At 52.5% G+C, this 24,507-nt stretch overlaps 1 protein-coding gene and 1 long non-coding RNA gene across 2 annotated transcripts in view; one reads left to right on the forward strand and one right to left on the reverse strand.

The window, feature by feature from the left end:
* LOC105373265 (uncharacterized) overlaps nucleotides 1-22,193 on the reverse strand; it is a 32,746-nt gene extending 10,553 nt beyond the window's left edge. Inside the window, exons 1-4 of the long non-coding RNA XR_007066988.1 lie at nucleotides 22,105-22,193; nucleotides 19,040-19,431; nucleotides 17,807-17,981; nucleotides 6,030-7,736 (exon numbers count right to left, since the gene is read on the reverse strand). This is a non-coding gene — a long non-coding RNA (uncharacterized LOC105373265). The remainder of the gene's footprint in view (nucleotides 1-6,029; nucleotides 7,737-17,806; nucleotides 17,982-19,039; nucleotides 19,432-22,104) is intronic.
* KIF26B (kinesin family member 26B) overlaps nucleotides 1-24,507 on the forward strand; it is a 554,448-nt gene that overhangs the window by 521,731 nt on the left and 8,210 nt on the right. Inside the window, exons 11-14 of the mRNA NM_018012.4 lie at nucleotides 7,518-7,680; nucleotides 8,690-12,092; nucleotides 21,391-21,593; nucleotides 22,172-22,322. Coding sequence (NP_060482.2) covers nucleotides 7,518-7,680; nucleotides 8,690-12,092; nucleotides 21,391-21,593; nucleotides 22,172-22,322 — 3,920 coding nt within the window. The remainder of the gene's footprint in view (nucleotides 1-7,517; nucleotides 7,681-8,689; nucleotides 12,093-21,390; nucleotides 21,594-22,171; nucleotides 22,323-24,507) is intronic.

The following is a 24,507-nucleotide window of genomic DNA, read 5'->3' on the forward strand; positions in this document are numbered from 1 at the left end:
TGGCTCCAGCCCATACTTGCAATGTAAAACCTCCACTTGGTGCAAACTCTTTCCATCCAGTATTTTCTGATGTCCCTGAGGGCTCTCATGAATGCTCATCACACGTCTCCTCCTGGAAACAACTGCTGCTTCACCAAGAATCGCAGGCCCCACGGGGAACCATCACTTCTCTCCTGCCTGTCACTGGGCACAGCCACCAACATTCCAGAGCCATCATGGTGCCAGCCCCAAATGACCAGGATGGTGTCGGGAAGAACGCGTCTCTCCCACGCATTATCCTGCCTCAGAGGCATCTCAAATGATGCTGCTTGCACCTCAGGGTTCTACAGTGTTTCATAAAAAGAGATCGATGAGCAAATAAATAGATTAACTTCATGTACTCTTAATAGTTCAAGACCTCTGCCAACCAGCGGTCTCAGGATAAGCAAGACATGACCTCATAATAGGAGGTGTGCTGGTTGGATCACAAAGGCTGGTCCTTCAGCCAGAGTGGGTGGTTCTCTGCAGGGACCTCTTCTAAGCTCTCCTTGATGAGACAACTAATCATCGTGTACACTGCCGAATGACAGTGTTTGCAGAACCTCTAGCATGCATGCTGGCCTCGGCTATCTCTGCCAATACTTTATTACACAAGCCAGAGTCACCTTCATCGGAAGACTTGAGAACTTGGCTTCTCTATCCCACGAATGTTATGCAGTCATCTTCCCAGCATCCTGCAGGACAGACCTGCTTATGCCATTTGCAGTACAAACAAAGTACTATCTATCTGAAATTGAGCAGCAAGTACTTTAACTTCACGTACCTCTCCTTCTGAAAATGCCATCAGGATAGCTCAGCCCATACCAAGCTTCTGGTACTTCTCTAGTACCCCAAAGCAAGTAATTCATGCCCTAAGGCATTAGCATCCTTGAAGGGAATGTTGCCAAGACAAGGCCACTTCTGCAGAGCAGATACCTTCCCCAGAGGGGAGGCGTCCAAAGTCTTGCCTCAAACGTAGGAATGTTCAGGAAGCAGTCATGGACAGCGAGATCATCAAGTCCCTTAGGAATAAGTAAACTCAAATAAAATAAAAATAAAGTGATTTTCCCTTTTGGAGGTATGTGTTTCAGTCTGGCGCAACTCAACACTGTCAGAAATAATAAAGACACTTACTTGAGACCTAGGAGACCCTTTGGGGCAGAATTGCCCTCAGCAGAGCTGGTGATGGTTTCCCTTGAGAACAGCCTTTCCCATGAGGGATAAGGAACTGCGGAGATGCTGCTCACCTTGGCCAGGAGCATTGGGCCAGGGATGATGGCTTGGGACCCTGGTCCCTGGCATCTCAGGCTGGTCTCCAAGGGTCACTGGTGACCTTTCAGGGGACAAAAGAAAAGGATCTTCACAGATAGTTGGCTGTAAATAGGAAGGAGGCAGGGTCAGTGGTGAGGAGGATATTTGAACAGTCAGCGTGTATTTCAAAGCCGTGGTTCTGTCCCCCTCTGGTGTTGCTTCCTTCTCCTCTTCACTCTGCAGCCGCCTCTTGGTGGTCAGAGGGTGAATGCAGGGCCCTGGGGTTTGGGGCCTAGGGCTGGGAGATCAGAGCTCTTGGAGCTGGCTTGATACCTGGCAATCCTCATCCAGCATCTCCATCTCTCTACGACGCGTTCTGGCACGTTGCAGGTGAAGTGGGTAGAGCGTGGGATGGTTACTGGAATCGATGTAGTTCCAGGGTGCTGTCCTTAAGAGTGCGAGTGGTACCAGTCAGTGTTCTCGGCATTTAAATATTAGTTGTTGTTATCTTGGCTATCTCATGCGTGTAAGAATTCTGTGTGTGTAGTTTCCATCCTTAAATTCAACCAAGGTATTACTGTAAAAAAAAGCAAGACAGGCCTGGCACAGTGGCTCACGCCTGTAATCCCAGCACTTTGGGAGGCCAAGGAGGGAGGATCACGAGGTCAGGAGATTGAGACCATCGTGGCCAACATGGTGAAATCCCGTCTCTACTAAAAAATACAAAAAATTGCTGGGCGTGGTGGTGCATGCCTGTAGTTCCAGCTACTCAGGAGGCTGAGGCAGGGGAATCGCTTGAACCCAGGAGGCGGAGGTTGCCGTGAGCTGAGATCACACTACTGCACTCCAGCCCGGGTGACAGGGCAAGACTTCGTCTCAAAAAAGAAAAAAAAAAAAGCAAGACAAAAACTCTCTCCCTTTTCTAGAAAAGAGCATGCCTGTGCGTATGGCTGGCTGTGTGCCTACAGTTCATGTGCCTGTTTCCGTTTTTGCTGCTCAAAGCCATGGATTGGTGTGTAGTCAGGACCTGCATTCTCTGCTTGGTGGTTCAGTGTCTGGGATGATACTGTTTCCCGGTTACTCTAGAGCAGAGGTCAACAAACTTCTTATGCAAAGGAGCAGGTAGCGAGCATTTTTGGCTTTGTGGGCGACACAGGCTCTGTTACAACCACTCAACTCTTATTGTAGCACAAAAGTAGCCACAGACACTATGTAAACAAATAGATGTGGCTGTGTTTTAATAAAACTTTATTTACAAAAGCAGGCAGTGTGCCAGCTTGGGCCTGCAGGACCCTGGTTGGTCAGCCCTGTGCCTGAGTGATAACATGCTCTTTCATGCCTTTAAAAATGATTATTAAAGTGTGTTCATTATCCTGTTCTTTTTGTCCTTTTTCTTGTTTAATAAGTGTTCACTGATTTTAAAAAGACATTTTTCTAAAAATCTGGGGGTTTTTTGTGTTTTTTTTGTGTGTGTTTTTTTTTTTTTTTTTTTTTTTTTTTTTGACACAAGGTCTTGCTCTGTCACCCAGGCTGGAGTGCAGTGGCGCAATCTCGGCTCACTGCAACCTCTGCCTCCTGGGTTCAGGTGATTCTCCTGCCTCGGCCTCCTGAGAAGCTGGGATTATAGGCGCGCGCCACCATGCCCAGATAATTTTTGTATTTTTAGTAGAGATGGGGTTTCACCATGTTGGCCAGGCTGGTCTCAAACTCCCGATCTCAGGTGATCTGCCCGCCTCAGCCTCTCAAAGTGTGGGGATTACAGGCGTGAGCCACGGTGCCCAGCATAAATTTATTTTCAAAGGCAAGTGTGGTCAGTGTAGGCAGGGAGTGAAACATGTATGCGTAAACACAACTACTTGAAAGAGCGGTGCGGTCCTTCCTCAGGCCCCCGTCAGCTCTGCTCCATCCCCAGTCCCTTCCTGTGCCTGCCCAACCTGTCCTCCATAGCCAGGGCCCCCCAACCCAAACCCCTCCAGGCACCACCTCCCTCCATCCCTCCCGCCTGGCTCTGGGGAGGGGGTGGCCAGCGGCCCTGCACGCTTCTTCCTCTTTTCTCTTCCTCTCTCTTCAGACTTGATGCAAAGAGTGGGCTAAGTCTGTGCTGACTGTTGCCCTGGAAACTCTTTTGAACCTTTCTCTTTCCCTCCAAAGATTCCGAGTTCCTCCTACAGTTTGCAGCCTTCAGTACCCTGCCCCTTCCCTCCCCTGCCCTCCCTTACTTGGTTGTCTTTATTCCAAGTTAAATGATCATCATGAGGTTGGGAAAGCCGCAGCTTTCTATGCACCATGTTTTACTCCCCAAAGGACATCTTTTAGAGTCCGCAGAGGCCCACATGAAGGGCTCACCAGCAGCTCTACCGGTTTGCTTTCCACAAGGAGAGCTAAAATGCCGGTTGCTAAGCAGCATACATGCCGCTGCTTCTTTCCACAATGTAGACTTAAAAAAATCGCCGTAAACATTTTACCATATGATTGAGTCAGGTGTGGGGAGTCGCAGTAAACATTTTACCATGTGATTGAGTCATGGGTGGGGAGTCGCGGAAATACACAGGGCAGGCAGTTCGCTATCACGATGTTCTCTCTCAATTCTGTCTTTGGTCTGTCTTCCTGGGTAATGTCACATGGAGACCCAGGGGATCTGCCGTCAGCTGTGTGCAGTGGGTTAACAAGACGACGGGGAACTTCAGAGTGCAGGCAGTCCTCATCTTTTGCAGATTCTGTATTTGCACATTCACCTACTCACTGAAATGCATTTGTAACCCCAAAATCAATACAGCGGTTTCACAGTCATTCTCCGACACGGGCAGAGGGGTGAAGATACTGAGTCGCCAGATGCACGCGTTCCCCGCCGAGGTGGAGCGTGCAAAGCTCTGCCTTCACGTTTGGCTCTCATATCGTGCACATGTGTCCTTTTTGCAGTCTCCTTAGCACTGTGTTTTTCATATTTTTGTGCTTTCTGATGGTTATTTTGCTGTAAACGGCCCCCAAGAATGGTGCTGATGTCCTATTTAGGGTCCCTAAGCACAGGAAGGCTGTGATGTGCCTTATGGAGAAAATCCATGTGTTAGACACACTTCTTTCAGGTAGGAGCTACAGTGCTCATGGGGGTCTAGTGTTAATGAATCAAGAATACACACACCCAGAAAAAGGAAGAGGAAGCGCACAGGGCAGCCAGCTTGATGTCACCACGTTACATCCTTTTATCCGGTCTTTGGTAAGTTTTCTTTTCTTTTTTTTTTTTTTGAGACAGAGTCTCGCTCTGTCGCCCAGGCTGAAGTGCAGTGGCGCGATCACGGCTCACTGCAAGCTCCACCCCCCGGGTTCACGCCATTCTCCTGCCTCAGCCTCCTGAGTAGCTGGGAATACAGGTGCCCGCCACCACGCCCAGCTAATTTTTTGTATTTTTGGTAGAGATGGGGTTTCACCGTGTTAGCCAGGATGTTCTTGATCTCCTGACCTCATGATCCACCCACCTCGGCCTCCCAAAGTGCTGGGATTACAGGCATGAGCCACCGCGCCCGGCCGGTCTTTGGTATGTTTTCTTGGGGACTTACACAGGGTCACGTGGAGATACAGGGGGATGCGCCTTCGGCCCATCTGTATGTGGGGCCACTCTGGAAAGTGCTAAGGTAACAGCTATAGTACATGAGGAAGCCATGGAAGAGATGAAAAGTGGCTGAATGTGTGGATTCATCAGATGATGAGAACATTTAATGTAATAGATAGCATTGGTGTGAGGCTAGACACCAAAGAAATGTACAATCATGTTACCCAAGGGAAGGAAAGTATTAAACCCTTCTTGGCTAGTGTTTTATTTTAAAGAAATACCAAATATAATTCATTATTTTGAAGAAACGTATTAAATAAAGCATCTTATTAACAAGGTTACGTATTGACCAGTTGAAGAAACTTTTGTCATCAGAGGTTCACAGAAACCTAAACCATACGTTAGGTTGGTGCAAAAGTAATTGAAATGGGCCAGATGCAGTGGCTCACACCTGTAATCCCAGCACTTTGGGAGGCCGAGGCGGGCGGATCGCCTGAGGTCAGGAGTTTGAGACTAGACTGGCCAACATGGGTGAAACCCCGTCTCTACTAAAAATACAAAAAATTAGCTGGGTGTGGTGGCGCGTGCCTGTAGTCCCAGCTACTCCGGAGGCTGAGGCGGGAGAATCCCCTGAACCTGGGAGGCGGAGATTGCAGTGAGCCGAGATCGTGCCGTTGCACTCCAGCCTGGGCAACAGAGCAAGAGTCTGTCTTAGGAAAAAAAGAAAGAAAAAAAAAGTCATCGAAATGACAGAAACCGTAATTACTTTTGCACCAAACTGTATTTCCCCTAAGAACAATGGCCCAGTATTTACAAATTCAGTGTTCACAAATATTTTATAGAACACAGCTACCATGAATAACAAGAGCTGACTGTATATGATCACAACCTAACTGAGCAGAACTCACCCTCCACTACTCATGTAAGACCTGACTGTATATGATCACAACCTAACTGAGCAGAACTCACCCTCCACTACTCATGTAAGACCTGACTGTATATGATCACAACCTAACTGAGCAGAACTCACCCTCCACTACTCATGTAAGACCTGACTGTATATGATCACAACCTAACTGAGCAGAACTCACCCTCCACTACTCATGTAAGACCTGACTGTATATGATCACAACCTAACTGAGCAGAACTCACCCTCCACTACTCATGTAAGACCTGACTGTATATGATCACAACCTAACTGAGCAGAACTCACCCTCCACTGCGCATATTGAAGACAGAGCCCAAGACGCATCCAGGTGCAACGTCTCTGCTAAGAATGTGTGCCAGGAATGGGGCCTGGCTTCCTCGTCGAGTGCGGCTGTCCGTGGGTTTCTGCTAGACAGATAACGTTCTGAAGGAGTTAAACTTTCACAGCTCCTCCTCCTCCTCCTCCTCCTCTATATCCCTTACCTCGCCACGTTCATCACTGGTCATTTTGCTGGAAGGGAAGCCCTGGTATATTCTTACATTGCTCTGGAAGTGAGCTTTAGCCCAGCGTCGCCAAACTTACACCTTAATTGATCCCAGATGAGAAGGAAAAGCTATTGCTCTTACCCCACAGTCTTCCCTCCCTGAGGCCAGAAGCAGGTCACGTGTAAAATGGTCTGCTCTCTGCTGACAGTGGCCTGAGTCTCCCATAGTGTCTGCTGAGCTGGATAGTCCCTCTCCAGGGAGCTTTGCAGGGGATGGGTGATGAGACATGGACATGGGGACGAATTCCTCTCATCTGGAATCGCAGACACAGCATGGAGATATGAGCACGCGGCATGGGAAATAGGCTTCCTCAGCCCTTCAGGATCAGGGAACGTGCCAGAGATGCAATGACATTTGGCAGCAGTTGAGAGTATGAGTGCTGTTGATGAAATAAACAGAGGCCTTTAAAAGCAAGGCAGGAAAAATGCTGGGACGAGTACAGGAACAGAAAACCAGCCATTTCTCCAGGTCTATTCAAAGACGTAGCAACACTCCCTGCAAACCCCAGGGCCTCATTATCACCACTCAGGGCAGTGGCCCCGCACAGCACCTGCACAGTTGCCAGAGGAGGCCTCTCTATAGGAAGTGCTGCTTTCTGTTGTGGATAGAGTGACTGGCTGGGCCTCTCTCTGTGTTTCTCCCCTAGTCTTCAGGAATATGAATGCCTTTTCCTTCAGTGCTACTAGGTGCAAATATGCGAGTTAAGGGACAATGCCAATAAAGTAGCCGCAGTTTCCTGGCTAAAGGAACTGTGCAGGTATTAAAAACCCACCGATCTTTAATCCAGGTTCGTGGCAGGGGGACTCCTTTTTGTTGCAAGATTGTCTGTGTGTGGAAACCCTGGAGAAAGGCCACACGTGCAGTCAGCAAGCCGAGTCACCAGGCACAGAGCCCTTTCTCCTGATCCCCTCCTCTTGTTTCTATTCCCAGGCCTCATTATGTATAATGTCACAGACACACACGCCCAGGAACATCCCATCACAGCCAGGACAGAAGCGCCAAGGGAGGTGCTTTGCACAGATTCCATCTTGGAGTTAGAAGCACTTGCTCGGTGCTTGCCAACTACAAATAGCCCCATGCTGGAAAATGATGCTAATTAGTATGCCATTAAAAAGGGTGGGGGGACCACCACCCACAACAAAATGGCCGTGTGCAGGCCTGAAGCCCTGCCCTGAGGGCCACAGGGAAGCATGGCCGCTAATGCAGCCTAATTCACTTTGTTTGGCAGAGAGAGCAAGCTCGCCATGTTGCTGCGGGAGTCTCTGGGGAACATGAACTGCCGTACCACCATGATCGCGCACATCTCGGCCGCGGTCGGGAGCTACGCGGAGACCCTGTCCACCATCCAGATTGCATCGAGAGTCTTGAGGATGAAGAAAAAGAAGACGAAGGTAAGGAGCTCGCGGGGTGGGGGGGTGGTGGATGAGGGAGCCTTTGGAGCCGTGCCCTGGAACAGAGTCAGAAAAAGCCAAATCAACGTTGCCAATCCCCCAGCATCAGGAGATGTGACTTGGAGCTGACAACACGTGGCTCAGGGTCCACTTTGGGGCAGGGAAACCTTGGGGCTGATACAAAGTCATGTCACCTCCCCACACCTGGTGCTGGCCCTGGTCACCCAGCCTGGACCCCTGACCGGAAGCACTTGGTCCGCTTTAGAGAGTACAAATGGATTGCTACCTCAAGAGGAAAAACGTTGGAGGGATGGAAAATATTGTTTTTCTCATGCATGGCCTCGGTCCTGCGTAGGTGGAGACTGTGTCCTTCGAAGGCTTGGCACCAAAGAGGTTCTCAACTCCCTGCTCTCAGGGCCCCTCCCCTGCTGCATGTCCAGGAGTCACTCCCTGGCTGCTGCTTTTGTCCTGGCAATTCAGTGGTTTCTGGATGATACTGAGTCTGCTGGACATCGCTGGGCTCATTTTCTCAGGCAGAGGCCAAGCCAGGATGGTGGCAGGGTGGCAAGTAGTTGAGAAAACCATCATGATCGTGGCCACTCAGTGGCAGGGGCAGCTGCTGAGGTGGGGGCCTTTTTCCCCCTTCTCTGTTTTGTACCTTTTTTATCTTTAAATAGCGTTTCTTAACCAGAGTTCCACGGCACAGGGTGCCAAACATTGGTGAGCCAGCAGCCCTTAGCTGGTCAGGCAGGGCCTGGATGGTCACCCCCTTTCCTGAGCAGCTGTTTCCCCAGCGTGCCACACGGGGCTTCCCCTTCACAAATGCAGTGGTGATGTGACACCGGGCGCGCGGGCATGGCACCCCGAGTGGCCCACGTGCGGGAGGCCAACGGGGGTGGCTGTCAGTAGCCTGTGTCGTCAGGGGCCTTCACCACTTGCCGCGCACAGCTGGGCTCCCGGGGAAACTGCCACGGAAAGGCCACCACATTAACTGCCGTCTCACTCACAGTACACATCCAGCTCGTCCGGCGGGGAGAGCTCCTGCGAAGAAGGCCGCATGCGCAGGCCCACCCAGCTGAGACCCTTCCACACCAGGGCCACGGTGGACCCTGACTTCCCCATCGCTCACCTGTCCAGCGACCCCGACTACTCCTCCAGCAGCGAGCAGTCCTGCGACACCGTCATCTACATCGGGCCCAACGGCACGGCCCTCTCTGACAAGGAGCTCACCGACAACGAGGGCCCCCCAGACTTTGTCCCTATCGTGCCAGCCCTGCAGAAGACCCGGGGCGACAGCCGGCCCGCAGAGGCAGGAGAGGCTGCAGCCGGCAAGTCAGAAAGGGACTGCCTGAAGTGCAACACGTTTGCCGAGCTGCAGGAGAGGCTGGACTGCATCGACGGCAGCGAGGAGCCCAGCAGCTTTCCTTTCGAAGAACTGCCTGCTCAGTTTGGGCCAGAGCAGGCAAGCAGAGGCCCCCGGTTAAGCCAAGCAGCGGGGGCAAGCCCACTCTCTGAGTCTGATAAGGAAGATAATGGGTCCGAAGGTCAGCTGACCAACAGAGAAGGCCCTGAACTCCCAGCCTCCAAGATGCAGAGGAGTCACTCACCTGTGCCCGCCGCGGCACCCGCCCACAGCCCCAGCCCGGCCTCACCCAGGAGCGTCCCGGGCAGCAGTAGCCAGCACAGCGCCTCCCCACTCGTGCAGAGCCCCAGCCTCCAGAGCAGCCGGGAGAGCCTCAACTCCTGCGGCTTCGTGGAAGGCAAGCCCAGGCCCATGGGCTCCCCCCGGCTGGGCATCGCCAGCCTGTCCAAGACCTCGGAGTACAAGCCACCCAGCTCTCCTTCCCAGAGATGCAAAGTCTACACCCAGAAGGGGGTCCTGCCGTCTCCCGCCCCACTGCCTCCCTCGAGCAAGGATTCCGGCGTGGCGTCTAGGGAGTCCTTGCTGCAGCCCGAGGTGCGTACGCCCCCGGTTGGAATGAGCCCCCAGGTTTTGAAAAAATCCATGTCTGCTGGGAGCGAAGGGTTCCCGGAAACTCCTGTCGATGATGAGCAGCAGGCAGCTACTCCTTCAGAGTCCAAGAAGGAGATCCTGAGCACCACGATGGTGACGGTGCAGCAGCCACTGGAGCTGAACGGTGAGGACGAGCTGGTGTTCACGCTGGTGGAGGAGCTGACCATCAGCGGGGTCCTGGACAGCGGCCGCCCCACCAGCATCATCAGCTTCAACAGCGACTGCTCTGCACGGGCCCTGGCCTCGGGCTCGCGGCCCGTCAGCATCATCAGCAGCATCAGCGAGGACCTGGAGTGCTACTCCAGCACGGCCCCCGTCTCCGAGGTCAGCATCACACAGTTCTTGCCCCTCCCGAAGATGAGCCTGGATGAGAAGGCCCAGGACGCAGGGAGCAGACGCTCTTCCATCAGCTCCTGGCTGAGCGAGATGAGCGCGGGCAGTGAGGGTGAGCAGTCGTGCCACAGTTTCATAGCCCAGACGTGTTTTGGGCACGGGGAGGCAATGGCAGAACCTGTGGCCTCGGAGTTTGTCAGCAGCCTCCAGAACACCGCTGTGGTGTGCAGAGAGAAGCCCAAGGCCAGCCCCGACAACTTGCTCATCCTGTCTGAGATGGGAGATGACTCTTTCAACAAAGCAGCCCCCATCAAAGGCTGCAAAATATCCACAGTGAGCAAGGCCATGGTCACCATCTCCAACACGGCCAATCTGAGCAGCTGCGAGGGGTACATCCCCATGAAGACCAATATCACAGTTTACCCCTGCATTGCCATGAGCCCCCGGAACATCCAAGAGCCGGAGGCCCCCACCGCCACCCCCAAAGCAGGCCCCACATTAGCCCAGTCCCGGGAGAGTAAGGAAAACAGTGCAAAGAAAGAGATGAAATTTGAGGACCCGTGGCTGAAACGAGAAGAGGAAGTGAAAAAAGAGACGGCTCATCCCAATGAAGAAGGGATGATGAGGTGTGAGACTGCCACGGGCCCCTCGAATGCTGAGACCAGAGCAGAGCAGGAGCAGGACGGAAAGCCCAGTCCGGGAGACAGGCTCAGCAGCAGCAGCGGAGAGGTGTCGGCCTCCCCGGTCACTGACAACTTCAGGAGGGTCGTGGATGGGTGTGAGATGGCCCTGCCCGGTTTGGCCACCCAGAGCCCCGTGCATCCCAACAAAAGCGTCAAGTCCAGCAGCCTTCCCAGGGCCTTTCAGAAGGCCAGCCGGCAGGAGGAGCCGGACAGCCTCTCCTATTACTGCGCTGCTGAGACCAACGGGGTGGGTGCAGCCTCGGGCACCCCGCCCTCCAAGGCTACCCTGGAGGGGAAGGTGGCTTCCCCCAAGCACTGTGTTCTGGCTCGGCCCAAAGGGACTCCCCCTCTGCCCCCTGTCCGAAAGTCCAGCCTGGACCAGAAGAACCGGGCCAGCCCTCAGCACAGTGCCAGCGGCAGCGGCACCAGCAGCCCCCTGAACCAACCAGCCGCCTTCCCGGCGGGCCTCCCAGACGAGCCTAGCGGCAAGACGAAGGACGCCAGCAGCAGCAGCAAGCTCTTCAGTGCCAAGCTGGAGCAGCTGGCCAGCAGAAGCAACTCGCTGGGCAGGGCGACAGTCAGCCACTACGAATGCCTCTCCCTGGAGCGGGCCGAGAGCCTGTCCTCCGTGAGCTCCCGGCTGCACGCGGGCAAGGACGGCACCATGCCCCGCGCGGGGAGGAGCCTGGGCCGCAGCGCCGGGACCTCGCCCCCCAGCTCCGGGGCCTCGCCCAAGGCCGGCCAGTCCAAGATCTCCGCCGTGAGCAGACTCCTCCTGGCCAGCCCCAGAGCGCGCGGCCCGTCCGCCTCCACCACCAAAACCCTCAGCTTCTCCACCAAGTCCCTGCCGCAGGCGGTGGGCCAGGGCTCCAGCTCGCCCCCCGGTGGGAAGCACACGCCCTGGTCCACGCAGTCCCTCAGCAGGAACAGGAGCTCGGGCCTGGCCTCCAAGCTTCCCCTGCGGGCCGTCAGCGGGCGCATCTCGGAGCTGCTGCAGGGTGGCGCGGGCGCCCGGGGCTTGCAGCTGCGGGCCGGGCCCGAGGCGGAGGCGCGCGGGGGGGCCCTGGCCGAGGACGAGCCCGCGGCCGCGCACCTGCTCCCGTCGCCCTACAGCAAGATCACGCCCCCGCGGAGGCCCCACCGCTGCAGCAGCGGCCACGGCAGCGACAACAGCAGCGTGCTGAGCGGGGAGCTCCCGCCGGCCATGGGGAAGACGGCCCTGTTCTACCACAGCGGCGGCAGCAGCGGCTACGAGAGCGTGATGCGGGACAGCGAGGCCACCGGCAGCGCGTCCTCGGCGCAGGACTCCACGAGCGAGAACAGCAGCTCCGTGGGCGGCAGGTGCCGGAGCCTCAAGACCCCGAAGAAACGCTCCAATCCAGGTAGGCGGCTGGGCGCAGGGACGCGGGTGAGGAGGGCGGCAGGTGGGCGAGCTGCCCAAACCCCACTGCCAGGGTGTCCCGTGCCCTGGGGAGGGGGCGTCCAGGCCTGGCCTCTCCTTGCAGGTGGGCGAACTGCCCAAACCCCACTGCCAGGGTGTCCCGTGCCCTGGGGAGGGGGCGTCCAGGCCTGGCCTCTCCTTTCCCACGGCCCGGCACCCCGCGGGGCTCCGCCGGGGACATCACCGCGGAGGGTTTCTCTGTGAGAAACTGCCCTACTGCGTGCCGTCATCAGGCTTAGGGCCGTGAATCCCTTGGCGCTCAGCAGGGTGGAAAGGCGAGGGCCCGGATGCAGGTGGCAGCATGACCCGCACCTGCTCGCTCTGGGGGCAGCCTGGCTCTTCGCCGTCCATTCCCTCACCCCTGCCCCTCTGTTCAACAACCAAGGATCCTGTGGACGGTTTACAGCCTGTTGAGGGATCAGGTGAGGGTACCTACCCTCATGACCTGGTGGCTTCAGAAGCCCCTCCTGTGAGGTTGGTGGCCTGCAAGACCCTGGCAGCCTCTCTCAGGGATGTGGGATAACGCACAGATTGTCCCATTGAAAGTGGAATGGCGAGGCCCTTCCTCCACCTCCACCCCAAACATATTTGTGGACAGTCATGTTTGCACACCTGCCACAGGGCCTGCAGTGCCCCCCGCCACACACACCATGATGCCTGAAATGCGTGATTTTGGAGAAAGTCTTTGCCATTTCTTTTTTTCCTTTTTTTGAGACAGTCTTACTCTATCGCCCAGGCTGGAGTGCAATGGCGTGATCTTGCCAAACTGCAACCTCTGCTTCCTATGTTCAAGTGATTCTCCTGCTTCAGCCTCCTGAGTAGCTGGGATTACAAGCGTGCACCACCGTGCCTGGCTAATTTTTCTATCTTTGGTAGAGACAAGGTTTTACCATGTTGACCAGGCTGGTCTCGAACTCCTGACCTCAAGTGATCCGCCCGTCTCAGCCTCCCAAAGTGCTGGGATTACAGGCGTGAGCCACCACACCCAGTCAGTCTTTGTCATTTTTAAGAATCTCCTATCAAAAGGCACGTACTCCAGAATAATTAATATATAAAGCCCACAGACTTGTTAATTGGAGTCTTGGGTGGCACATGACAGTAAGTTATGATGGGCAAGGAGAAGAGGACCCGGGTCAGAGCTGGTGGCCCTGGAGGTCTTGGGGTAGGAGAAATGAAAGGATGGTAAGGAGAGAAAAAGACAGACAGAGGCAAAAGTTCCCAAGAACAACTGAAGCTACTTGAGAATTTTGCCTGGAATCATCTCTGCTCATAAGTGGCTTCCAAAGAAATTACCCCTGCTCATCCTTTAAGGGCTTAAAAAAAAATAAATGAAATTTACGCAGAACCCCACGTGCAATTCTGTGGCTTGGTTGAAGCCAGGGCGGCCGGGTTCCTGCCCTCCTGGCCTGTCTCTCCCCTCCCGCTGCCCTTCTGTGCAACACTAGGCTCTTCACATGCTCTCAGAAGCCAGGTCCCTGCAGGGATCCGTGCCCGCAGCATATGTGGAAGTAAAAGATGGGGTGAGACACAGATGTAGGGCTTCCCCTTTCCTACTGCTCCAGCAACTGCCCCACAGGCTTGTTCTCTGTCATGGGGTGGCTTCTTCCTGTTCTCCCACCACAGGCGAGCACAAACTCTGGAATGTTCCAAATGTAAGGGCTGTGGTCAGTGAACATTATAAACCATTCCTCTTCCTAGAATCAAAGAAATCCACCTTAAGGGATGGTGTAGTTATGCAGATGTAGTTTTATGATATAGACAGCCCCATCCGCTCCCCTCATCACAGATCACAGAACTTGGCCATGGGGATGTTAGGCTCTAAGCATGGTAGGGAATCATCGTGGCTGTCAGTACCTTGACATCTTTATTTGCCTGGGGGGGGGGTATGCTTCAGTCTTTGATACGCTTTGACTCTGCTTTACTTCACCCCTCAATCTCGGTGACAGCACTTGGAGCAGAACCCCATTTAAGACAAGTTGAAAAGGAAGAGCCATTCCGTGTAACGTAGCAGCTTCTGTGTCTTATGGCCAGGGCCAAGGGCATTGAAACGTATTGATGAGAGTAAAAATAACAAGCAGGAAAGCATCTGCCGGCCTTCCCAGTACCTGGTTAATGAACTCTTGTTATTCTAATCCACGCAGCCTCGGTCTTCAAAGTCCAGATGACTGTGTGGCATCGGCTGCGTGGCCACGTGTGTTTCAGTGTCCCACAGTGCTTTCATGGACTCAAATTTAGTGCCTTGCGTCTACCAGTCCATTTCATTATTTCCGTGGCTTTCACAGGTTTTTGTTTTTTTCCCCAAGACTTTTATTGTTTGGTTTGGCGGTTACAGTGGAGTAAAGAGGAAGAACAATGATGGAAAAACAAACGTGTGAAGTGACTGCTTGGCGAGCAGGCAGCAGGCTCTGCATACGCCCTTGCTCTGGGCTAAGTGCTCTCGTAAATGCTGTCCTCTAGGAGCCTCTGGTTAGGTAAGGCTATTGGAGGAAAACAGTGTAAAATTAAAATGCCAGGGCAGGTGCTAGAAATGGATTTCATGTGGAATGTCAAGAGCAGAAGACCTTTGTGATGAGCTGCTGTAGATCCAGGCTCCATGATGGATGTGGCAGTGGAGATGTGCTGGTTTCAGGTTAGGTGACCTTGTCTGGCTTATTTATGATTATTATTAAGAGAAACGGTGGCTGTCAGACATGGTCAGCATAAATCAAAAGCAACTTCTTTAAGAGAAGCTATAAAACTCCTCCAAGGAAATTCCTAACTAGATGGCTAGAGTTTACAATTATGAGAGGTGTTTGGAACCAGAGAGGAGACATCTTTTGTCTGAGATGGCTTTTGAATTTGGAATATTTTAATGCTTATTTCCTTAGTAAAAATGAACTAGAATTATTGGGAAAATAACCTTGACCTCTCTGATTCCTTGGTAGTACATGTAACAGCAGAAACGACCAAATATCACCGTGGTTCCTTCTTGTCTTCTCATTCTTGGAGGTCCATGTTGCTGAGGAGTGTGCAGCATTGGGCTTGTTCCACCGGCCATAGCAGGGTGCAGTGAATTAAGTTAGAAAGCAGGAGGAGGCTTAGAATCTTGAGCTGTGTGACCTTTGGGGAATAACTGTCCTCTTTGAGCTTCAATTTTCTCATATGCAAGTAAAACGAGAAGATTGATAGGTAATAGCCATGGTCTCTCTGCTGCCCACATCATATGAGACTATGCAGATAATTTAAATAATGTTATGGTCATGTGATGTCTTTTCCTTAGAGCAATCTGTAGTCAGTGGGGTTTATTTTCAGTTGTTCAACATTGACCAGGTATCTTCTGTGCTCTTAGAGCTTGGTGATAGTTTCTGGTGTGTGGGTGGAGGTGGAGGCAGCCGGCACAGGGGACAAGGCCACTGTAAGAAGTTTGTAATCTAATTGGAGAGAAAGGGTGAAAAGCGTGGAATAGAGAACAGTGAACTGAGTGCATTCCCAGATGCTGAGTGGGGTAGTGAAGGCCCAAGTGGAGAGAGCATTTAGACAAAGCAGGATCCTGCAAGGCAAAGGCTGCAGAGAAATGTCGGGATTGAGCTTGGTCCGGGAGGGTGCTTACATCGGGACAGGCAGAGAGGGCGCAGGGCATCGAGGCTGAGGCAGGGATGGGACTGCAAACTCCCAGCGGCAAGAGCCTGGCCTGTGGGCGACACAGCGAGATTAACTCAAGGAGGGACCGTCCCAGCAAGCAGAGCAAGACGCTAGCAAACGCAAGCCACAGTCACACCCGGAACAAACACAAGCCACAGTCACACCTGGAACATCTGGGAGCTACAAGAACAGTACACATTATTCTATATTCTACATAGTTCTAAAAGAATATCAGTATATTATTGTAGTTGGCAATGGGGAGTCATTACAGGCTCTTGACCAACAACGTGATAAGGTGAGAGAAATGATGTTGCTTTTATTGATGGATTTTCATTGCTTCATCCACAGCTCCTTGCCAGCCCCTCTATGGTCAGCAAGATGAAATTGTGTATAGCCCAGAGCCAAGAATGAGCCCAGGAGGGAAGGGAATGTCTGTCCTGGCCAGTGCACATATCAGCAGCTGAGGATGTCAATCTGTGATACACAGTTGATGCCATAATTACACCAGCTGAGCCCCTACCCTGAGCCCCCAGTCCTCGCGCTCCCCCGTCCCCTATCATCCATTATATGTTATGTCAATCCTATTTTCTTCCTCCAGTCTCTTAACATTTCACCCTCATCCTGGTGTGTTACTTCCTTGGATTCTTTCCCTTGCTTTCCTTTTCTTGGACTGGATGGGGAAGTCTGACAGTTAGATGAGCACCTTGGTCTGAATTAAATTCATTCCCACCACAGGGAGGCTCAGCACCAGAAAAGCCCTGGAGTGAGGGAGGGTCTGCCTGAAGAGAAGCCCCTCAGGGAAGCATGGAGGTTCTGGAATGCTCCAGACCTTGGCCCGCCTGGACATGAGCAAGGCCTGTTCTGCGCTCGACCCAGCCTGCTTGGTGCCCAGCACTGGGCTGGTGCAGGTTACTGTTGGATATTATTGGTTGATTCATTGATGGGCTGGTTGCTTGGTTGGCGGCACAGTCCTGAAAGTTTACTCATGTTTATTTTCTGTGTATTTCTCATATCTTTTCCTGCTGGTGCTAAGTGCTTTAAGTGTTGAGTCTAGTCTGCTACTTTGTCATTCTAAGCGCCAGACCCTGTGCCTTTCTCTTGGTGCTGAGTCAACATTACTGACTGATGGGCCTGTCTTGTGAGTTGTGACTTGCACCTGTAGTGAATTGAGCTCCCAGGCTACCAGGTTCAGTTCCCAGGGCGCTGCACAAAAACTTGTGACTAATTGCTCCTCACCGAGGGCACCATGGTTTGCTCTGCCAACCTCTCCTATTCGTTTGGTTCTCAGGCACATCCTGGTTTTGTTTTAATAAATTCAAGCAGCACAGTGATCACTGGCTTAATGAAAACCAGAGGAAGGCAAGCCGCTTGCTGTCAGACTTCAGATTTCCAGAATGTTTCTAAGCGAACCAACCTAGAGCCAGTTGAGAATAGGTTCAGAATGAGAGCCTTTTTGAATACACAGTTGGGGGAAAAGGAGGAGAGTCATTGATTCTCTCAGACACCAAGGAAGCTCCTTAGAATAGAACCCCAAAGAGAGTAGGTGGCGCTGATGCTGTGAGATGACACTGTGGTCCTAGGTGCGGGGTTCGGAATCGCAGAGAACACGGGAGGAAGCCCAGGCTCGGCATCGAGGAGAGCTTTGTGGCCCTGGAGAACCTGCCTCTTTCTCATCCCCAGCACGGGAGCACTTGCCTTTTCAGCTAAAACATGACAGCAGGCCACACAGCCAGCATCGTTCTTCATCATGGAGCTGGCCCCTTCCTGGTCAACAAAATCACATGGATTGATTCACATTCTCTTTCTCTCTCTGCTCTGATATCTACAGTTCCTTTCAACATTAGTGCCTCGTGCTTTTTTGACTGTCTTCCTAGTGCCTACTCTTTGAATCAGAATGCAGACAGTGGGCGATGGAGCGAAAGCCATGCTGGAGGGCTCTCAGGAGCAGGAGTTTGGGAATGGGCAGAAGCATATTCCCCAGGGGGAGCTGAGAGGGCTCAGCACTCAGAACACCCATGTTTCCCAACACTTAACCTCAGCAGCAGCATCTGCAGACTCGTGTGGGGACTTCTGTCTGGACTCAGGGATGTTAAGAGTAGAAGGCCCAATGTCAGCTTCTCACGTGGGCTGTCAGCACCGCAGATGATACCGGAAGATGGACTGTGATGGGCCAGCGACCCCTCTGACTGCACGCAGCTGTCAGCCAGGCCTGGAACAGGAGGGGCGAGGGGGTGGGCTCAGCCTCTGTTAGTGGGAGAGGTCCTGGTTGGAAGTTTCACTGAAGTATCAGTGTTGACTTTCTCAGGTCAAATCTGGGCCATTTCATGCGGTAAATCCATGTCGGCAGGTATCAGCCCAAGTGTTTTGAACATGCTGCACTTGTACATGCCTGGACCAAATGCCAGGCTGATGAGCAGGGAGGGGTTGAAAAGCAGAAGGGAGCCCAACCCACCGGCGTCAGCAGGAGGCTGGCCCTGGCTGTGGCTCCCCGATCAGACAGGCGGCGTCCAATGGGGCACCACACGACTCCCGCCAGGGTGGGGCTTCCCCTGTACCTTTCTTAGAGCTGATGGTCCCCTGACCCCACTCGCAGCCTGGAAGGAGGGGATCCCTGGCAGAGACCGGGCTTGGCAGAAAACTGGGCATCTGCTTGAGAGGTGGAAATGCTGGAGCATGCAGAAAATCTAAGAACCCTTATTTATATGGGGCCCCAGACCAGGACCCTCGGGTCAGTCTTTCTTTGCCCAGGGATGGCATAGCAGTAACATCGCTTCCTGTGCCCTTTCCAGTAATGTGAGGGCACCATCTCCGCCCCTGAACTCCCTTCAGGCCACTTCACTCCATTTCCTCAGCCTGACCACATTACCCCTGCCCCAGTACTTGGCTTCCCTCACCATCACCTAAGTGAAGCTCACATGCACCTCTGGAGGGAGACAGGCGCGGGGAGAGGGAGCCTCAGCTGGAGGTGCAGGAACTGAGTATCAATCCATTCACGGGATTGAGGTTCTGGTACCCAAATTCAGAATTTTACGAAAATCCAAGACACTTGTTCATTCGTGTGCAGGAAAAAGGTATTCCTAGCCCCCAAACCACACCTAACCTGACAGTGGGCACTCACTTCACCTTGAGAGGGATCGATGTGGTGAGGAAGTTCAAGGTTGCTAGATGGCATGGAAAGGAGGCAATGGGAAGGAAGTAGATACCCGCCAGGATATTTCTGTGAAGCTGTTGTAGCCCAGTGAAATGTCACTCTCCAGGTGTTTTTACCTTCTCTACTCCCAGCTCACACGGTGCCCTGGCACGGGTATTGGCAGGACTCTCCAGGTGTTTTTACCTTCTCTACTCCCAGCTCACACGGTGCCCTGGCACGGGTATTGGCAGGACTCTCCAGGCGTTTTTACCTTCTCTACTCCCAGCTCACACGGTGCCCTGGCACGGGTATTGGCAGGACTCTCCAGGTGTTTTTCTCTACTCCCATCTCACACGGTGCCCTGGCACGGGTATTGGCAGGAGATGGAGGGTGGCTCTTATCCAAGACATTTTCCCATCTGATCATATCCCATCCGCGGTAGCCAGGCTCCAAGATGGCCCCCATGGTCTCTGCCTCCTGGTGTTCACACCCTTGTGTAGTCCCCTCCCGTATTTACCAGAGTTGGTCTCTGTTGAGTGAGGTAAGGCAGAGTGATGGTATGTCACTTTCAAAAGTAGGTTATAAAAGACACTGCACCTTCTGTGCTGGGTGCCCCTCTTGCTTTCTTGGGTCATTCCCTCTGGGGGATGCCAGCTGCCATGTCATAAATAGTCCTGTGTAGGAGAGGCCTGCATGGCAATGAACTAAAGCCTCCTGCCATGATGACATGAGTGAGCTTAGAAATGGAAGCTTCAACCTCAGTCAAGCCTTCAGATGAGTGCAGCCCTAGCTGACAGCTTGCCTGCGACTCCGAGAGGCTCTGAGCCAGAACCACCTGGCAAAAATTGCTCCCAGATTCCCAACCCACAGGGATATGTGAGATCAATGTTTGTTGTTTTAGCCGCTGGGTTTGGGGTTTATTTGTTACACAGCAGCCATTTGGAAGCTAGAGTTGAGGCACACAGAAGCTAAACAGTTTGCCAACAAACAGTCAGCTAGCTTGATCAGACTGATTTAAAAGAAAAAAACCCCTCTGATCTGGTCCCTTCCCAGGGTAGGTGTCTCACGCTAAGGAGACAGACATTTGCTTTATTCCCGTGGTCGATGTTACTTAGTTTCGTTAGTTGGGGCCTGCACTTTGTTGGAAACTAAATGCGATTGTGTATGTGTCTACACAAGATCAAATCTGGGCTCTAAAAAGTGAGGTTTTGGCCGGGCACAGTGGCTCATGCCTGTAATCCCAACACTTTGGGAGGCTGAGGCAAGTGGATCATTTGAGATCAGGCGTTCGAGACCAGTCTGGCCAACATCGTGAAACCCTGTCTCTACTAAAAATACAAAAAATTAGCCGTGCGTGGTAGCGGGCGCCTGTAGTCCCAGCTACTTGGGAGGCTGGGGCAGGAGAATTGATTGAACCCAGCAGGCAGAGGCTGCAGTGACCTGAGATCACACCACTGCACTCCAGCCTGGGCGACAGAGTGAGACTCCCTCTCAAAAACAGTGAGGTTTAATATGAAGCAAAAGGAGCTCGGAGCCCAGAGTTCACTCCATAGAGAAAATTAACACAGCAGTGAGTGCCCCTTGTTGTCTCCTGGAGGAGGCATGCTTCAGCTGGCATCTGCTCATCAAAACGTCAGTCCCCTGTACCATGCAAGAGTTTAGTCTCCATTCTGGGAGCCATGTGCTTCACTAATACCCAGGGTCTCTTCTGCTGTGAAAGAAAGAGGATAGATACTGGGAGAGAACTAGCCGTCCTCGTCACAACGTGTGAAGTGTGTGAAATAGTACCAGGCACGTAACCAGTGCATGTGAGTGCTACTGCTGCTGTTATAAGCAAATAAACAGTGTTTTCTGGAACTCCTGTAATGACATCAAATGCTAGGACCTTTTGACCTATCCATGCTGAGGATGCCCCCTAGGCTGCGTGTTTTACAGGTGGAAACTAGGAGGCGGTTCTAAAGATTCCTCAGGGAGTTTGCTGAGCTAAAGCCCAAGTGTTGGTTTAGGGGAGTAGAGGTGGAGGTGGGTGGTGGGAAGTGGGAGTGTTTAGCCCTACCTCAGATCCTGGGGTGCTTGTCATGACCTCCTCTGTTACATCCACAAAATATTTAAAAGATTGAAATTCAGGCTTCAGCTGAATTTCAGGGTGTAGTGGCTCACACTTGTAATCCCAGCACTTCGGGAGATTAAGGTGGGAGGATCACTTGAGGCCAGGAGTTTGAGACCAGCCTGGGCAATATAGCAAGATGTCGTCTCTCAAAAAAAAACATTTAATTAGCTGGGTGTGGTGGTGTGCACCTGTTATCCCAACTACTTAGGAGGCTGAGACAAGAGAATTGCTTGAGCCCAGGAATTCAAGGCTGCAGTGAGCTATGGATCGCACCACTGCACTCCAGCCTGGGCAACAGAGCAAGACCCTGTCTCAAAAAAACAACAAAAAAATTGAAATTCAGAAAGACTAACTCTCTGGGCTTATCCCCCTCCTCAGGTTCTCAGAGACGGAGGCTTATCCCAGCACTATCCCTGGACACCTCTTCCCCTGTGAGAAAACCCCCCAACAGCACAGGCGTCCGCTGGGTGGATGGCCCCTTGCGGAGCAGCCCGAGGGGCCTTGGGGAACCCTTTGAGATTAAAGTCTATGAAATCGATGACGTGGAGCGCCTGCAGCGGCGACGAGGGGGTGCCAGCAAGGTGAGGCAGCCTCCTTCCCACCCCCTGCCTACGTGGTGGCAGCTCCCCACCAAGCCTGAGCAGGTGCTAGGCAGGGCCCTGGGGAAGAAAACTCAGACCCGGGCTTCCCAGCGGGCTTCTGGCATGGGTGGTGGGAAGGGGGCTTCTGTCCCAGCAAAGGGCCTTTGGACAGAGGCCTTGGAGAGAGCCCCATGTTTCTCTTCCTGAAATGTTTTAAGGGCTTCAAAGCCAGGGGTCGGGGGCTGGTGATCTTGGGGGCTTTTCTGGCTCCTTGAGGCTCCCAGTCTTAACCAACCTTTGTCCAACTTGAACACCCACCACCTGCTTTCTCAACTTAAGAATGGCCTGTCATAGTCCAAAAATGGTCTGTCATAGTCCAAGAATGGTCTGTCATAGTCCTACCTTGTGAGGTGTCTGAATTGAGGTCTGTCAAGGGAGAATTTGGTGGGGATGACCCATGTCCCTCCCACACGTCTCCAAGCCCAGCCTGTTTTCCATCAACGATACTCACAGGTGCTCCTGTGGTGTGGGCTGGGTGTGAGCAGAAGGGCCCTTTCTCCTCTCTGTCTGTGTGCTAGGAGGCCATGTGCTTCAATGCAAAGCTGAAGATTCTGGAACACCGCCAGCAGAGGATCGCCGAGGTCCGCGCGAAGTACGAGTGGCTGATGAAGGAGCTGGAGGCGACCAAACAGTATCTGATGCTGGATCCCAACAAGTGGCTCAGTGAATGTAAGGCCGGGGTGCCTTCCCACCCTTGTGACTAGTGGGTTCACCTGCTCAACCGGGCTGGCGTGTAGCCCAGGGTGACAGTGACACAGGCTGTGTCCTCGTCCTCAGTCACAGGATGCCCATCAAATGGAGGAAGTTGCACCGAGCGAGCAGCCCTACTCCCCTGGGGATGGGCGGGAGGGGCCGGGACAGCAGAGGGGTGGTGAATATTGCTCTTGCAAGATTATTTCTACGTGTCTCAGTCCAAAGCACCTGAAAATGAGATTTTTCCCCCTGCGTGTGGCAGAAGATCACCCAGACATGAAGGCTGTATTACAAATCTCCTAGGCCACAAAATCACACTGCATATCTAGCCTGAAATAGACAAGAATTTATAGAGCCCTTAAAAAGGTAGAGTGTACAGTCCTCGAAAAGCCACGCAGAGAACCCAGAAAGCAAGGAAAACATTTTTGAGTGGAAAAAAAAAAAAAAAGACAGCCACAGTGTTATTTCCATTTAATAGAAAGCCCAGGATGACCATAACCATCTAATAACAATTCAGGACAATTTTGCTCTCTTTGAAAGGTGGATTCAATTGTCTTGTCTTATTAGTTCCTGACCATTCCATTTAGCACAAAATAAAACTTCAGTCTGGTCCCAGCTATTACACGGATATAGGAGCTAATGCTGGAAGACTCAGTCTGTGGGGTGAAATACATTCCTGCCATTCAAGTTCCCTCTGCCTCCCCTTCCCATCCAGCCCTCAGCCTCCGGCAGGCCTCCTTTGTACAGCCCCTCCCCTGCACTGCCCCAACCCTCTTCCAGTCTTCCCCAGCCAGTGTGGAGGGCCTACAGGTGGAGGCTGGAAGCTTAGGTTTATGTTCCAAAGCAGCTGGTTGAAAAGATATTGGTGTGAAATGGTCCTGGGTGAAGGTGCGGAAGAAAGTGGCAGGACTTGTCAGCCTCCCAGCTGTGCCTTCCACATGTAACTGCAGTCTCGCAGCAGCTGCCTCTCCACAGGGATAAGGTGATAACAACATTTCCCTAAGTACTCATTGGATTCTTGGGACAGTCTGTGGAGCATTCTATAATATAATATTAAGTTGCAGCATTTGCCGCTGTGGCCACAGGCATACAGACCTGCTTTGGCTGCTGGCTTTCTCACATACTAGCTGTGGGACCTCAGGTAAGACACTTAACTCTGAGCCTTGACTTCCTTAGCTGTAAAATGGGAAAAATAATGGTGACTACACCATAGGGCAGTTGTGAGGTATAAATCAGTTCCCGTTGGTCCTCTTGGTGCTTACTACACTGCTTGGCCCAGGATGAGAGCTCAGGATCTGGTAGTAATTATTACTATTATCCCAAAGTTCAACAACAGGAGACATTTCCTGGCCAGGCACGGTGGCTCACGCCTGTAATCCCAGCACCTTGGGAGGCCAAGGTGGGCAGATCACTTGAGCCCAGGAGTTCAAGACCAGCCTTGACAACATGGTGTGAAACCCTGTCTGTCTCTACCAAAAATACAAAAATTAGCCGGGCGTGGTGGCGGGCACCTGTAATCTCAGCTACTCAGGAGGCTGAGGTTGCAGTGAGCCAGAGATTGCGCCAGACCCTGTCTCAAAAATAAAAATAAAAAACAGGAGGCATTTCCTTCGTGTCTGCTTGCATGATGCACTGAGGAGTTGGATCTTCTGTTAGAAATTTGAGCAAAGAAAGACATGAACTAGTCCTGCGAGGGCCTTTCATCGAAGGCGCTAATGGGGAGGGCAGACAGGGGCGAGGGCGCTGGTTACTGTCTGCGCGTGACATGCGCACGGGGCGCTGTGCTTATCCCTCCCCGCTGCGGATACCCTTTTCCTTGTTTCAGGAATCCCTGGCCACTTCAAGATCCCAGGGGCCTCCTTTCAGTCAGTCAGTTCTCTCTCCTTCATTTTTGCTATTTTCATTAACATTTTATTTTCAAGAACTGTTTATGCCCAAGGCAGACTTGACTTGAAAATTATCTTCATCTTACAAAGTCAGTCATATTTTTCCCAGGATGGGAACAAGCTGAAACATCAATACATATGTGTTTAGATGCTTCCAGGAAACAATTGCTTCCTTCTAGTCTTTGTACATGTCAAAAATCACTGTGTTTTTGATGCTGAGAAAGAAAATGAACAGAAAGCTACATGAAAGGGGAAATATATATTGTTTCTTGAAG

Source organism: Homo sapiens, chromosome 1 (assembly GCF_000001405.40).
Source record: "Homo sapiens chromosome 1, GRCh38.p14 Primary Assembly".
Taxonomy (NCBI): domain Eukaryota; kingdom Metazoa; phylum Chordata; class Mammalia; order Primates; family Hominidae; genus Homo; species Homo sapiens.